General features: G+C 39.0%; 1 protein-coding gene across 6 annotated transcripts in view; it reads left to right on the plus strand.

The window, feature by feature from the left end:
* Positions 1–17171, plus strand: part of PIK3R1 (phosphoinositide-3-kinase regulatory subunit 1) — an 86066-nt gene that overhangs the window by 7042 nt on the left and 61853 nt on the right. For 4 of the 6 annotated variants that reach the window (XM_005248542.4, NM_181523.3, XM_017009585.3 and 1 more), the window contains exon 2: positions 3493–4212. In XM_005248542.4, coding sequence (XP_005248599.1) covers positions 3879–4212 — 334 coding nt within the window. In that variant the 5' untranslated portion in view covers positions 3493–3878. Of the gene's footprint in view, positions 1–3492; positions 4213–17047; positions 17141–17171 lie in introns of those variants that run through there. The other 2 variants (XM_047417316.1, XM_047417317.1) reach the window with 1 other exon arrangement.

Below are 17171 nucleotides of genomic sequence, written 5' to 3' on the forward strand. Positions count from 1 at the left end.
AACCTGCATCATCCACACCAAAGCAAGTTGAGTTCAGGCAGTAGATGCTGGAGGTGTTAAAAATGGGACTTACAGAGCTAGACTGCCTGGATCTGAATTCTAGTTCCTCTTCGCAATTGCTAAGTATTATCGTGACAGAGATATTTTCTGTCCTATGTTAAGTGAGACTACTGATAGTACCTGTTTTTATATAGTTATCTACACACACACACACATACATATATGACTATATATATGACTATATATATATGACTGTATATAACTATATATAGTCAGCATCATCATATCATCTAATACTAATTGGGAGCTATATGTGTACAAACTCAATCATCATCATCATCATCATCATCATCATCATCATCATCATCATCACCCAATACTTAACCGGAGTTTTATGTGGATTAACCCATTCAGTCCTCAAGAATGACAGACGTCAAAATGGACATGGCAGTCAGGAGAAAGTGTACAATGTGCAAAAGAGTAGGGGTGGCTGCCTTCTCTGTCTAGCTAAGGGCTCTCTACATCTTATCACCATGCTGTCCAGTCCCCACCCCAATGACTTGACTGCTCTCCTTTTTTTTTTTTTTCCACAACATTGCCCTCAGACCACTTAATTGACACTGACTAATGGCTGGCCTTGAATTAACGTCTGCATCAATGGATGGATGCCCTGTTTGTATCCATCTTCCTGGCCTTACTTTGGGGTCTCAGAAGACAGAAATGGTGTGTTCTATTTACCATCCTAGAGTCATAGAAGATTTGTGGTTCTTTTTATCAGATGAGGACCCAGAGTTCTGCACAGGGTTCTTCTTACCCACAAAGTAAGGTTCTTCTTACAGGTGGCAAGGGAGAGAGAATTTGTAGAGACCTTTAGTTCTCTGTCACTTCAGACAGGGATTGCCTCTCTGGTGTCTAGCCTCTAAAAGTCATCATGTTCCTTAGGTTTCTATTTCCCTTTGCACAAATTTAGCCTCAGGCAGACTCAAGCACAGCTTTTAGGTTTGTAAAACCTTGACAAGTCCTGGAGCCTTTTCTTAATACAGAGCCCCCTGGCAAGGAACAGCTTCAGAGGTAAGCTGTGAGCAGGGGCTTGCTTGATGGTTCCTGGAGGATTGAAGATGGGGAAGAGTTTGTTCATTATACTTCCCATTCTATTAAGAATCCCACCAAACTGGCCCACTGGGTGGCTGGAATAAAGGAAGTGTTAGGAAGCAGCTGGCATAAAGATCTACCCAGCCTACTGGTTGAGGATTTTTTTTTCCCCCCTAAAAGACATACATTGCCAGGAAAAGCTAACAAAAATTTCAAGGCAGATTTGGAGGAATTAAATTATTCTTAGGCACATTGCCTGGTTTCTAAGCATTTAGGGATATGTAAATGTTCATGTTCTTTAGAGGTCTCTGTCTCTTTTGTACAGAGTACATTAGTACTAAAAATGAGATTTGCTAGTTCTACATTTTCATGTGAATTTATGCAGTGAATATTCAATTTGATTCTGGATCTTTCAAAAGGAAAGGCTTTCTTTAAACAAATAATATAGCTTATTTTTCTGATATGCTCTATTGGTTGCTTTGATTTTTTTCTCCGACAACTGAAATGCGAAGTAGAGTACTATCCCCAATTAATATTCTTGCTCCACAAAGACTTCCAGTGTTTGTTTTTGCTTCTTTTAATATGTAACTCTCCTAAGTGTGTTATTGTATTACAGCTAAGAGGCTTTACCCATGTAAAGTTGAATACTTTACACTTCTGAATGCCAACATAACAATTAATCTATGATTAGATTTTGCTTCTTAAGATGCCTCCACTGACGAGTGCCTGTAATATTAAACTTCTAAAGTGTTCCACTCTTTAAAACTTATAAAAGCTCTCTTTGATATAGCCCACTGAAATTGTGTGGCTATTGTTTTTATTGCTTTATTGTGCAGCCAGCTTAACTGAAACCTTTGGGTGGCTTTTACTCTTTATAATAAAGATAACATTGAGAAATGCCTGGAGTACAAAGTGTATATGTGTACATGCCGTTCTCAGCCATCTACTCTGACTTAGTAACTCTCTAATTCCCTTGCCTCCACTATGTTTAAGAACAAAAAAGAAAAACACTTACATTTCACATTTCCTCCATCAAGCTGTCTTTATAGAGTGGTCTGTAGCAACCATTGCTACTTCCTCTCTAATATTTTTTAACTCCTTAAGATGTTGTTGCTGTCCTCACTGCTGGACTGGAATCTGCGTGATGATTCCATCATGGGCGAAGCCCCAAATTATTTAGCCTTGACTCAGTCTCTCCTGTCTGGATGCCTTTGCAGGATTTAGTCTTAGGGATCACATTTTCCTACTTGAACTCTTCTTCCTTGTTTTTGGGATGTTGTCTCTAAACCTTGACTTTCCTTCCTCAGTTACATACATTGAACTTCACTATTTGGCCCTTGGATCATTTTTTTTTTTTTTTAACTTTTGATTTGTCCTTGTGAGCTCTTCCATTCCATTGAATTCAGCCTTGCCTAATTGTGGCCGATTGCCAAATCCCTAGCATGTTTCCTCTTCTGAATCACAGACCAGGGTTTCATCAGCCACTAGCACACTTGCACAGGGGTGCCCAGAATCACCGTCAGCCCATCAGGTCACCTGGCTTCTCTTTGCCTGATAGTGCTCCAAACTCTCATTAATGCAGGATCAGGCACCCTTTGCTCCTCTCGTTCTCGCCGCACATTTAAGCATTTGCCACATCCCACATGTTCTTTCTCTGCAGTGTTTATTTCACTCCTCCCCTTTCCACACCTGCTGCTGCCACCCTGGTTTGTGTCCTCACTACCTCTTGGCCAGACCTCTGCAACACACCTTTCTCGCACACTGTGGTTAGATTGATATTCCTGGAGTGCAGCTCTGATCCCGTTGCTCACTTTTCACCAAGCCCTTTCCGTGTTCCACACTGTGGGCTGAATTACTCACAAACTCAGCATGGGCATGCGTGATGTCCTACAGCCCCTACCTAAATCTCTAACCCCAATCCCACTGCTCCCTCTTTGGCTCCAGACGGATTGGACTGCCTGTTCTAGCTCTTCTCAGAATATGACATTTTCTTGGTCACTTCTGTAACTAGCGTCCGACCACACATGCCATTCTGTCTTCAGATTCCTGCAGTTAGTGTGCTTTCTCCCTCGTTTGAACCCTGCAGTGTTTAGTTTCTGCCTCTCTTATGACATGTACTAGTGTTGTGGCTCTGTGTACTCTGAGCCACATTATCAGCGATAATGTCACATTATCGCTAAGACATTGCCTCATGCCGACACTCCTCCCCTCTGCCCCCGCCCGGTGTTCTTAGAAGGCAGGGACTGCCTTACTAATCTCTGTTGTGTCAAGCAATAGCACACTGGCCTGTGTCTGTCTGCCAAATCGATTAAGTACTTGTTGAATGGAAGTAGAAATTCCAATTAACACAGATGGCAAAGTGTGCTGTTCATTCTTAAGTCTCGTTTTTTTCATTCCTAGGTGAAGCTCGTGTGTGGAGTGCCACGGTACAATCAGACGACAGATGGACAGTGTGACAAAAGTGTCAGAAAGGATTGGGCCTCGCTGTGAGAGTCAGCCTGGATTCAAAGTGTTGACAAGTTGCTGAAAAGGAAGCCAGTGAGAGGACTGTGGCACGCAGAGGAAGTGGAGCCCTGTCTTCGGTCACACCATTGATGGAGGACAGATGGACAGCCGTATGGCCAGTCACCTCTCCTCTTAAACCTTTGGAGAGTGGTCCTTTGTCCTCTGCTGGACACATAATAGGAATTCTAACACATTCTCTGAATTCACTTTTCATAAAAACGTAAAATCAGACTGCTCTGTACAACCAGGCTCAACTGTTGCATGGTAGCAGATTTGCAAACATGAGTGCTGAGGGGTACCAGTACAGAGCGCTGTATGATTATAAAAAGGAAAGAGAAGAAGATATTGACTTGCACTTGGGTGACATATTGACTGTGAATAAAGGGTCCTTAGTAGCTCTTGGATTCAGTGATGGACAGGAAGCCAGGCCTGAAGAAATTGGCTGGTTAAATGGCTATAATGAAACCACAGGGGAAAGGGGGGACTTTCCGGGAACTTACGTAGAATATATTGGAAGGAAAAAAATCTCGCCTCCCACACCAAAGCCCCGGCCACCTCGGCCTCTTCCTGTTGCACCAGGTTCTTCGAAAACTGAAGCAGATGTTGAACAACAAGGTCAGTATTGATAAGTGGTTGCTTAATGACTCCCTTTCTTTTTCTTTTTAAGGAAAAGTCTTAAGTTTGGGTTGAGTCGTTATGTTCTGGGCAGAAGTTACCTTGGCAACTGCACCTGAATTGATGTGTGGTGCATAAAAGCTTGGTCAATCATTACACAACTAGAAATTTGTGTTTGTGGGGTTGGAAGTTGTTATAAAAATAGGGACACAGTATCCGAGAACCTGTTTAGTGAGTGTCGTTGAACACTATTATTATAGTTGTCATTGAATTAAACATCTACTATATTTCTTATTTTTGTAATTGGCATTATAGGCGGAGTATTCCTAGTCTGAAAATATGAAATCTAAAATGCTGAAAAACCCAAAATTTTTTGACACCCAAAGGAAATTCTCATTAGAGCATTCCAGAATTCAGATTCAGTGGTCAAGGGGTATAATGCAAATATTCCAAAATCCAGAACAACATGAAATCTACAACACTTCTGGTTCCAAGCATTTCAGATAAGGAATACTCAACCTGTGTATATCTAATAATAATTTTGGGAAAGTGGAGGGTAAGTCTAATATAAGTATATTTAACATGATTTGTATGGAAAAATGTAGAGAGTAATAAAATGACCACAGAACTCGGCTGAGAAGAAACCATTGTTTTTATAACCTGGTATCTACCTCTTGGTTTCCTCTCCAGGATCGCTGTGGCCAAAGCTGAAACCCAATCCTATAGTTAGTATAAAAGTAAAGGGATTTCACTTCCTTTGTGGGTAGTGTCATTTGTAGCATTAATGCCTATAGTCTGGTTCGCCTTCATGAGGGGGAAGAAAAATTCACTGAATACTTTGCTTAAATGGAAACCACCTTCATTCAAAAACCACTTATTGCTTATTGGAGATGGTCCATACTTGCGCTTCAGGCACAGCTGTGTCTTTAAGGTTTATCTTCTGTTCGGTTTCACACAGAGACAAGCCTTATGCTCAGCTTTGCTGTTATCAGCTTTGTCAAATACCGGTTTCCTCACTAGTAAATCACACGCATTTTTCTTTTTTCTCTTGTGTAGTCTTCTTTCTTAGGGTCTAAGAAGGGAATGGGAAGGAATGGTTTAAGATGGGTGGGCCTAACTGCAGTAGTTATATATTGAGGAGACCTGACTGGCATCACAGGATATTTCTGGAAGAGATTCTGATACCACTAGTAAGCTATTATACCTTCTTTAATGTTGCCTTATTCTAACACAAGTGAATAAGACAATGAGAACAGAGAAACAGAATGCAAGGGTAAGAGCTGCCTTTCAGTATTGAGTAGTAATAGATTGGGAATATTGTGTTAAAATCAAGGAATTTATTAATGATACCTGAAGGGAAGCCCTTTTCTTTCCCATACCCAGCCCAAAGGGATACTTATTTCATAAATGTTATACTTTATAATGTTCAAATAATATCTTTTATTATATTGTTCAAAAGCCAAAGTTAATTTTTCTTTGCAGATCAATCAAAAAACCATGACTCTCCGCACATACATAAGTGATTTTATCAACCATTGCAGCACTTAGCAGATTGAAGATACATACGTAATCGTTTTTCTCCACCAAGTTATATATTTTCACCTTTTATTTTTTTTAAGTTAAAAACGCTTTCTTCAGTAGCCTAATTCCAAAGGAAAAGTGATTTAATTTTTCCGAGAATACAGAGCTTTACAGAATCATAAAAATAGTTGAATTAGAGAAGATTATTTAAAAGGTGGAATAAGGGCACCTTGTCAAGATTAGTTACAAAACAATTTTATAAAAGCAGTTTCTAAACAAAATTTGCATTTGATAATTGCTATCAGGTGCAAGTTTCTTTGGCTCTGGTGTACAGAAAAGCAAGTCTTTCCTTATAGGAAAAGTCATTTTCTCTTTTTATATCCTAAACTATTTTATAATGCTTGCTTTCTCATGTAATGTGATGACAATTGAGATTTTTAGCAGCTTTTTCATTTTTCTTTAATACATGGAAAGATGGAGTGAAATGAAAATTTTTAGCAGAATTCAAGAAAGAGACCCATGATAATGTGCATAAAAGTATTAGAGCCTGAATATAAATGAGAAATTAGTAATAACTGAAAGATTGAAAGGAGAGTGTTGGGGGGGGGTCATGTGGGGAGTATAATACTAAACATTCAATTTTCTAGAAGTGTTGGTCTTGTATTCTCATTTAAATATTCCTATGAAGCGAGAATTCAATAGCTCCTATGAGTTGCATGTTGAATTCATATGGAAAGTAGTTATAAGGACAAATTTTATATGTTAGAACCTGTGAGACTAGTTTCTTTTGCCTCCGTTTGTATTTCTTTGAAAAGCTTTTGCAGTGACAAATTGTGTGAAGGCAAGAAATGATAGTTCTGTTCTATTCTTACCATAATTGAATTCTTTAGTTCTTTTCTTTTTTTTTCCTTTTAACACCCTCCACCTCCACCTGACTTAGCCAGTTTTTCATGTTATGCTGTGTTTATTGCATTTAGAAGGTTATTCCTCACCAACCCCCACCCCAGGTCTAGGAACCACATGCAGTTTTGTTTTGTGGACTTGGCACACCTCGTTAATGGGCAGCAGGGTAGACAGAGGGTGCGAGGACAGCCTGCATGCCAATTGTGTGTCTGTGTCCTGCTGAGCCTTGCTGCCCTCTCTGTTTTTAAAAGGAAATTGTCCTTAGACTCTGGCCAAGAGTACGTTCTGTGAGAGATTCCTCCCTGTACGATAGTGTCTTACTTTTCCACTTTGCTTGTATGTTCTTGGAAATAAAGCTGTGATATTTAACTTTTTGAGAGAAAGAGTCAAAAACCCATTAGGAAATCTTATATACGGCACTGTACTTTCTTCCAATACATTTTGCATGCAGTTTTTAGGAAGCCCTGGCATATAGATTGAATGAATTGTTTTAATTGGATAATTTTGGATGTTTTTGGACTTAAATACATTCAGTAAGCATGGTCTGAGTCCTTATTTTGTGCTGGAAAGCAAAGATAAAAGATGAAATCAAGGCTCAAGAGCCAGCATGCCCTGAGATGCTCTCTCATGCCTCTCTTCCACCTTTGGAGCTGTGCTTTTTCTCCTCTGCTAGTACAGCTCTTCCCCTAGACATCTGCCTGACTGACCCACTCTCACTTCTCTGCTCAAATCTTTCGTCTCATGGAGTCTGGCTCTACTCACGCTATTCTATGCTGGGACCTACCTCTCTGCTTTTGCAAATCATTGATTACTTAACCCACGATATCGTTTACTTATTACGTTTATTGTTCATTGACTGTTCCCTCTGTTAGATTTTAAGCTCCATAAGGGGAGAGATCTTTGTGGTCCCCCATTATCCTAAGTACCTAGGACAGTGTGGTAGTTTCCCAACATGCTGGTAAACAGGTGCTGCTGCAGCTCATCCTACAGCTATTTCACTTTCTGCATTGCTTTTGAAATTGACCACGTGCTCTGAATGTCATGTGCAGTCATACAAAGCTTAATGGCCCATCTTGTTTTAGAAAATAACAGCTTATTTGTTATCCACATCCTTCATCTGAGGCATCCTGCCTTGGCCTTAACCATTGCCTGGTATGTCTCCAGAACTCTTTATTTTCTTCCCAGGGCCTGGGACAGGTAGTTCTGCTGGTGGGAAAGTGCATTAAGCTGATAGTACCTTCAGTCACTTAAGCCAAGTGAGTAGAGGGGCTGTCATGGTCAGCGAATATCCTCAGGGCAAATTCTGTGCCCTTTCTCCCATCCTTTTATCTCCTTCCCTTTGCATGGGGGCTAAAATTGCCAATATGAGGATGACGTTTTATTTTATTTTTCTACAAGCCAGTAGAGCCCTATGTTATGTTCTTCGGAGAGAACCTCTTCCATGTTTTGTTTGGATAAAGAGTGTGCTGGGTGTGCAAGGTGGGTGTTACATGTCCTCGGGTGAGGCAGCTATTGAAAGGCAATCTTATGGCTCTTTCTGCTTTAGCTTGCTCAGATCCTGGCATCCCATCCCGCTACACCAACCCCATTCAGCCAGGGTCCTGTATTTTCTCTTGTACACAACGAAATGAGTTGATTGAAAATGGGGATATAGGGATATGGGAATAAAAATATATTCCTCTGTCATATGTAAGCCATCCAGTGGGGCTATTTCTCAAGACAGTGGTTTTAACTCATACTTTGAGATCCTTTAATTAAAGTCATGCTAATGCAGAATATTTAGACGGGTGAGAGTCTGTGCCCATGTTAGTTTGTGCAGTGCAGTGAAACCTGCTAACACAAGAGATTACTTACTGCATACCCACCTCCATCCTGACCTGCACAACCCTCCCTGGCTCCTCCTGCAGCCTCTGACAGTGGATTTCAGCTGGTTTCAAACCTAAGACATAAAGCATGCATTTGACATGGCTTACGCTAAATTTTGATCAAAATCCCTTTTAAACAGAAAGAAAAAGGCCACCATTGGTGTTGGTTTTCATGGTTTCCCAAGGCATGTTATTGTTAAATTTTTCACATTCAGCATTTGAGTGTCCCTTCATGGTTGTTGTTCCCTGTCCAGAAAGCAGGGCTGCAATAAATCACAAACATTGACTACACTGTACAGAGGTCACAGAAAATAGTGACCTGATCCCAAATTACACACCTCTGCTGAGCCCGTTGGTCATAACCTACGCTGTCTCCTTGAGGCAAATAGTGCTTGTGCAAGTAATTTGCTTTGCTTCACAAATTCCTGCCTTTACGAATTCTGTTTTCTTTCAGAATATACTTTCTCATAACATTCTTCACTCTTCCTTCCTACTTAAGTCTTTGCTGTGAACTTGGAGGTTTGTCTTGTTAAGCCCAAGTGATGGGGAAAACCACCCAATTTATGGTGCTGACTGCTCATTCTGCATCTATCGACCACTCTGTTTTTGCGAGAAAGTTGGGTCAGTTACAGGATCTTAGAAGATAAGGGCCTTTGAGCTCTGTCTCTAACTTCTGACCACAAGAAAAGTTCATCAGGACATTATGGAGATTTTTACCCAGGCATGAAAATTTAAGTGTTTGCCCTCTGTGTTTCAGTAGGAAATGAAATATATTTCTACTGAAATATAATTGATTAAAGAGTGTGTCTGGAAAAAACAAATGTGCTAATTATTTTGAATAAAATCAGATTAGCCTAACCACTTAGGGTCACAGAATATGTCATTTGCATATTAAATTACTTATTGCAACACAGTTCACCCTCTCATGAGCATTTATATTCTCAATACATTCTTGATTTTTTAAAAACATTTTTTCTGTTAACTTTGTTTCCCTAAAAATGTGTAAGAGAAAGGAAAGTAGCCCTAATTAGCGATTTGTGTATCCGTGGTTTTTTGAAAATGAAATTGACAAAAAGAGACAGGATGCTCACTTTTATTGCTTTTTGCAGGAGGGTTCTTACCCTGAGCTGGCCTGGCCACTTTAGGAATTCACAGGCACGCTCTGAGGGGCCTGTGAGTAGGGAGGCTCTCTTACCCAGAGGGGAGAGGAAGGCATTTCTCCCTCCTTCCCTCAGTCTGTTATTTGAAGGGAATCACTTGAACTGCTCTCCTAGAGCTGCGGTGACAGTTAAGTCCAGGGTTGCAGAATAAGACAGTATTTGAGGAGAAGAAGCTTTCTGCCAGGTGTCTGTTTCTGCCTCTGTCCTTTAGAATCACAGGGTTATGGTAGGCAAGTTATATTTTCTTATTTAAGTGAAATGTTTGTTCAGATGCTTTTGTTAAGGCTTCTGTTCTATACACTTCTTTCTGTGTTCTTTTTTCAAAAATGGGAAAAGGGTCCAGTGTCCTTATATGTATATCCTAAGTAAAGCCCTCACACACCTCTGATTCAAATAGGAGTTATTTAATTAGAGGGAGCATATTTTGTTTTCTGGCAACTAAGTTAATGTTGATATTCTAATACAATTTTCTTTGTTATAAATATGGAACTCTCTATTTAACTTGTCAATAGATTCTTTGATAAATTTGATGTCAGTCTTCTCTGGTTTCTAGGTGATGCATCTTTGTCTACAACAAGAGACATTCTGATTAGTAAGAATTTCTTCTCTGAGTTAGAAAAAAAATTAGAAATTCTGAAATTCAACAACAAATGCTGACTTACATCTGCTAAGTAGCACCCAAAAAGGGGAGAATTTTTTACCTATGGCAAATAAGAGTGCCAAATGTGACATCATTTACATATCCATGTTTTGATTAGTAAAAACCAAACAGATGTTAGCAGTACAGCTGGCTCTTGCATATATGTGTATCTTTGTTGCTAACAGATTTCCATGGGGAAGGATGTAGCACTGGTCTGAAGTCTCAGATAGGAGAAGATAACATGGTGTGATAGCTTGAAATGAGGAGCATAATTGCATGATGGATTATATCTGAATGTTTTGAGGTCTTGAGTTTATAGCATTCGATATCAAAGCAGTCCTTAGGCTTTCAATAGAGGAGGACACATGGAGGGGGACAAAGTGAACTAGAAATGGGCTTTATTTCAATTGCTTGGGTATAGTGTACCTAAAATGTCAAGTTGTTTAACAGAATATCAGACTACTTTATAAATGTGTTATTCCTTCTTACCAATTTATGTAATATTTTATTTTTACTATGAAAATTCCATGCAGTATACAAACAGTACGTGGAATTGTAGTAGAAACATTGTTAAAATATAACTTTGAATTAAAAACAAAACATGGTATACATTGTTATATAATGGATAACATAGTGTATACATTGTTAAAATATATCCTTGCAATTAAAAACAAAACAAATCAGCTGCAAACCTTTGTTTAATTATGTATGCAGAACTTTCTCCCAATGGCTTTATACCACCTAAGGCATGGCTGTGATTTTCAGGAATACCCTCTCTGGACTGTTTCTTGCTTGGAGGTGTTTGCGATGTATTTGTATTTGTCTGTCTATCTATTCTCAGTTGGTAGATTATGTAATGCCTATAGATTATTCTGTCCTGTCACAGTTTGATTCATTTTGAAGTTATAACTGTGAATTTATTACAGCGTATTGCAGGAGACGTAATTTGATGATCAAATCTGATATCCAAGATCGTAAAGAATATAGGCATAAATGAAATATAAATCTGTGATATATTATTTGAATCAGAAATTCCACATTGCTTTGCTTTCTATAAATTCCTTAACGTTCTAGTTCCAGTGTTCTCTAATTGTAAGATGAGAAGCTAAATGCTGTCTCTTTTGAGTTTCAGCAGTTTTTGTTTTAATCCTTCTCTTCCCAATCAGAAGAACTGTCGGAGAAATAAGACCCAGAAAAATTGGTTCTCACTAGTAGTGTTTCCCCAATAATGCAACCCAGAAGCCCTGTATATGAGAATAAGGGAATGTAGTGAGAGGATTTATGCAGAGAAACAACCTAGGATGGTTGGAAAGATGTACTTACATGACCTCATTGCACGATCTGATTGGAGACTGGTCCATGGATTGTATGGGATTATTGCTTATGAAAGTGCCCACCTGGTATCAAGTTTTTGCAGATGCATGCGGTGTATGGTTTTAAGACATGTTTCACCAGTGTGAATATTTAGGCTCTACTTCTGTTGGTGGGCAGTTAGCAATTGCTGGTATCTAAACTGGTTTGAGACTTACTGCCTCATTTGAACAGTATCTGTGCAGTAGCGCTAAACTCGTTGACATGATCTGTACTGAGAGTTCCTACAGATTTGTTTCATATATATTTGTTAAATTTTCCAAGGTAAGTAGAGAGTGATGGTTATAACATTTGTTTATTCAGACCCCTCTAAATCTACCTAAGAGGTAACATGTTAGCATAGGCATTAGACAAGGCTGCATTGTGAAGTCAGAGTGACTGTCTGGGGTTGTCACTGTCATCTTCCAAGCTTTCTCCTAAAGAAGAAAATTGACATAATGCTCTCAGACTTGGCACATGGGACCAGTGCCACAGCAAGCACTGGTTCTAGCCTGCTACTGGTTTTTGGTAAAATGCAGTTTTCAGAACTACTCAAGGGTGTAATAAGATTAATTTTTATGATATTAGATATAATATGTTAACTTTTTAGCTATTGTTAATCTTAAACACTGATGGCTTTATTTTTATTCTATTTAAAAAAATAATTTTTGAGGCCAGGTGCAGTGGCTCACACCTGTAATCCCAGCATTTTGGGAGGCCAAGGTGGGCAGATCACTTGAGGTCAGGAGATCAAAACCAGCATGGCCAATATGGTGAAACCCCATCTCTACTAAAAATACAAAAATTAGCTGGGTGTGATGGTGCATGCCTGTAATCCCAGCTACTAGGGAGGCTGAGGCAGGAGAATCGCTTGAAACTGGGAGGCAGAGGTTGCAGTGAGCCGAGATTGTGCCACTGCACTTTAGCCTGGGTGACAGAGTGAAAGTGTCTCAAAATAAATAAATAAATAAATAAATAAATAAATAAATAAATAAATAATTTTCAATGCTTAAGAATTTTTTATCAGTAAACAGTTCATTTGAATTTTTTTTTGCATTCTTGTTTCCCAACTATAGAAACATAGCTGAATATTTGTGGCATCATTAATGCATAATTTCAAAGCATTTTACACATTGTTAATTAAATCTCACCATGTTCTTTCAGGTAGCAAAAAGTAAGTTTATTTTTGATTCAGAAGTATTTGAAGAAGTTAGAACAAGATGATTTTATTGCTAAATAATAAGGAATATCTGTGGAGTACCAAGGAATGAGATATAATGAATTTGGTTAGAGTATATCAAAGTACATATTATAGTTTTTGTCTTACACTTCCCTGTGGGTCTGTTTAACTATTGAAAATGTCTTCTTCAAAATGAACCTTAAACATTTGCAAACTTACTCTTTGCTAATTATTCTGCCAGGCATTTTTTTTTTTCTTTTTTTTTTGAATCTTGCTCTGTTGCCCAGGCTGGAGTGCAGTGGCTCAATCTCAGCTGACTGCAACCTCTGCCTCCTGGGTTCAAGCAGTTCTCCAGCCACAGCCTCCCAAGTAGCTGGGACTACAGGCACATGCTGCCACGCCTGGCTAATTTTTGTATTTTTAGTAGAGACAGGGTTTCACCATATTGGTCAGGCTGGTCTCGAACTCCTAACCTCAGGTGATCCACCCACCTCGGCCTCCTAAACTGGTGGGATTACCAGCGCGAGCCACCACGCTGGCCCTGCCAGGCATTTTATAGACATTTTTCATTTGACGCTCACAACCACCCTGCAAAGATGGCATATTATAACCTTTTTTTGTTTGTTTGTTTGTTTTTTTGAGATGGAGTCTCGCTCTGTCGCCCGGGCTGGAGAGCAGTGGCACGATCTCGGCTCACTGCAAGCTCCGCCTCCTGGGTTCACGCCATTCTCCTGTCTCAGCCTCCCGAGTAGCTGGGACTACAGGCACCTGCCACCACGCCCGTCTAATTTTTTGTATTTTTTGTAGAGACGGGGTTTCACTGTGTTAGCCAGGATGGTCTCGATCTCTTGACCTTGTGATCCGCCCACCTCGGCCTCCCAAAGTGCTGGGATTGCAGGCATGAGCCACCACGCCTGGCCCTATAACCGTTTTTGAGATTTAAAAACTGAAGGTCATGTGATTGTGTAAATATTTAAAAAGTGATCATATTAAAAAATATCATAGTGATGGCACATTGATAAGATTCAAGAACATTTTGGGCAAGGCAGGCAGTCATGAGGATCTCCTTAAGCAGTCTCTTGTGAAGTGATCGGTAACTGAATTTTGCTTTTTGGGTGGTCTTCAATTATGTCTGCTTTATCTGTTAGGTTTCACTAGCTATTACATTCATGCAACTCCAGAAATTTACCTCCAATTTATATGTGACTTACAACATTTTCTTATGTCTGGTAAATATTTGAAAGGATTGAATTACAAAGAGACGGATAAGGCCATGAAGCTAAGACAAAGTTTTGGGTATGTGCATGTAAATGCAATTTTTCTCAGGAAGAAATACACCATGATCAGATAACTCAAAAGTTTTATAACCTTGATAAATAGATTTACCTTCGTTTCTGTTGTTTTTGAAGAAGTTAAATGTCTGCTTTAAATGTTTCCCTGAGTTTCAAGTTTTCTTATTTCAGACTCATAATTATATCATTTTGATTAAAATGGAGCACAGACTGGAGTTATTACTTGCTTAAAAGCCAAAAACTTGAGGGTATCCAGCATAAGAATTGTGTGTTTTGGTCTGTGGATAGCAGCTGCTTGAAGTCCATAAAAACAAGAAACCTGAAGTTGATTCAGATGAATCTGAAGTCTTGTACCTGAATTATGTCAAGGTTAGCAGTAAATGCCATTTAAAAAGACTGAGTACAAATTGCCAAATTCCTTTGAATGCCAAACCATATTTCTCAGGAAAGTTGGCCACTGCCAAATTTATAACATTTGTGTTTCTGTTACCTGAATTCCAAGGGCAGAGGGGTGATTGAGGGGGTAAGGGAAAGGCACAGGTGAATTTTATTTTCAGATGTCTAATAGGACAGTGTGACATTGCCCAGAGATAGTCTCTCAAAGGTAGTGAGTGCCAGCAGAACTTCTCGAATGCGAAGTTGAGAAATTTTACTTATTTACTTATTTTCCCATTGAAAAAAAAAAAAAAAACTTTAAATGTTTTCTGAGTTAAAAAGGCCTCTGACTGGTAGTCCTGACACAGCTTCTTGAGAGTCTCCGAGAGAGCCTCTTCTCAGTACAATTCCTAAGAAGATAGGAAGAAAAAAAAAAATATTCTTAACACATAAAACTAGAATTAGTGGGAAGAAATGCCTACTGTAAACTCAACAGAACCGGGGTTAAAAAATATAGGATAAGTTTTGACTACCTAAAAGTAGCAGGGCAGACCCATCTCTTCCCTAACTCTGTCCATAATTCAGAAAGGGCCCAGGGAACTGTCCTCAGGAATGCTCTTCCCCCCTCTTCCTTGTCCTCTCCGACAGAGCCTTTCTAATCAGTAGGAGGTCACAACTTAGAAAATAACCAGAGAGAGCTGGAATGGTAAGTTAGGGGCTATTACTGTTATATTCTGAGAATCCTGATCCATGAAAATAAAGTGCTGAAGGTGGGGTAGAGTTAGAAAGACCTGTGTTCACTGAGGGTTTTGAGTATTACAGGCTCTCCATCACTCAGAGCATCAGAAAGTCAGGCGGTGAACGCAGGAGATTTTTCTCTCAGGCTAACCAAAACCATGTTGAAATGAAAACCACCTTGGAACTGGCCTTTTCATCTCAGACTGCCAAATAACTAGCACCCAAGTGGATCCCTTAGCTCAGAGCAGTCACCAGGCATGGGTAGGTCTTTCCTTGTTTAGTGATAAACAGGAAAAACCTAACCGAGCCTACTGAACCATGTCCATCTATAAAAGAAAAAGGGAGATCATACTGGAGATTTGAAAGAAGAGTAGACCTCCAGAACTGATTGATTATAATTTATTTCTGTTATAGTATTTCCACTTAGTATTATGATTTATTTCTGTCCCTCATGAAAGGGACAGAAAGTAGTCAGGCGGTTATGAGATGAAAAGACAGTAAGATGGGATGAAATCGGAGTGAAACAATAAAAAAAAGACTAAGTTAAAAATGTAATAGCATATTAAAATTCATGTGTAAGGGGGTAATGAGCTGAAAATAAAGTCTGTGTTTTGAAGGAGAAACAAGATAAAGCTCTTTGGAATCCAAAGGATAAAAACATAAAATGAGGGAGAAGATATATAGAGAGAATATCTAACAGGAGAATTACAAGTGTTGATAAACAGGGAACCAAGTGAAATAGAACAACATCATTATAAGAAGTTTTCATGCACGTGTGCAGATTTGAAAGTGTTGCCGTATTTTTCATGTGAAATCAATGAAAAATATGTTTGGGCATTTCTATTTAAGAATAATGTTAAAGTACCTTGCCAAAATATCTGGCAAGATATTAGCTACCAGGGAACAAAGTTGTTTTTCTTCTCCTTTCTAGCAATAAATGCCAAAAAAAAAAAAAAATAGTGCATTGATTTTAGTAGAGTTTTGAGGAGAAAAGATGGTGACTTAAGAACTTACTGAGCTTCCTCCTTATATGTTATGTGGAAAGGCAATTGAGAGGCATTCGTTGATAAGCAGGAGCTCAGGAAAGATACACTAAACCTCTTGTTCACGTGGGAGTACCTAAAGGTTGCCTTTTTATTGTTAAGCTTTATAATTTAAAAAGGTGTAAATTTAAACTTAATTCATTTTGGTTAACTTCAGTAATTATCAAAATAATAAAACTATAAAGTATGTATCTTCTAAACACCTAGAAATATATATTCCAAAAGATAGGCAACAAAGAAAGAATAAAAATAATACAGGGAAAATGTTTACTATATATGACTACTTTAAAGAAATACAGACATTAACATATGTATGTACGTATATACACATACATATATACATATAAAATTGACCATATACATATATTTGTGTGTTCAACACACGCATTATTTTTCAGGTACTGCACTAACCTTTTATTCCATTGACTTGTTACTTTTCCTAAGAACTCTGTGACACTGGCCTTATTATACCTGTTTTAAAGATAAACAAGTTTAGTTAGAGATGGCCCAAGGTCACACAGCTAGTGGAGGAGCTGGGATTTGACCCCAAACAGTCTGACTGTTGACCCAATGCTCTTAAGCAACTGTGCAATACAGCGAAAGGGGCGCCGGGGGTTAATGTTCACACTGCTTGATGCTGCTGACTTCCGACCAGCCACAAGGCACCCCGGAGCCAAAGGCAGATGACTCCCTGGCTTGCCAGTGACGTGTGATGCGGTCTGATATGACAAAGTGAGTTAAACAAGCAGATTTTTCCTCTCAGGAAACAGACACAAGAACAACTGAAAAGAATAAAGCAGATGTGTGAGTTACTATTCCTTACAGCAAAAGAACCTCATCAGAACCGCAGGCTGGAAAGAGGTGATTACTTTTAAAGGGCAGTTCATTCCTC

Source organism: Homo sapiens, chromosome 5 (genome assembly GCF_000001405.40).
Source record: "Homo sapiens chromosome 5, GRCh38.p14 Primary Assembly".
Taxonomy (NCBI): Eukaryota; Metazoa; Chordata; class Mammalia; order Primates; family Hominidae; genus Homo; species Homo sapiens.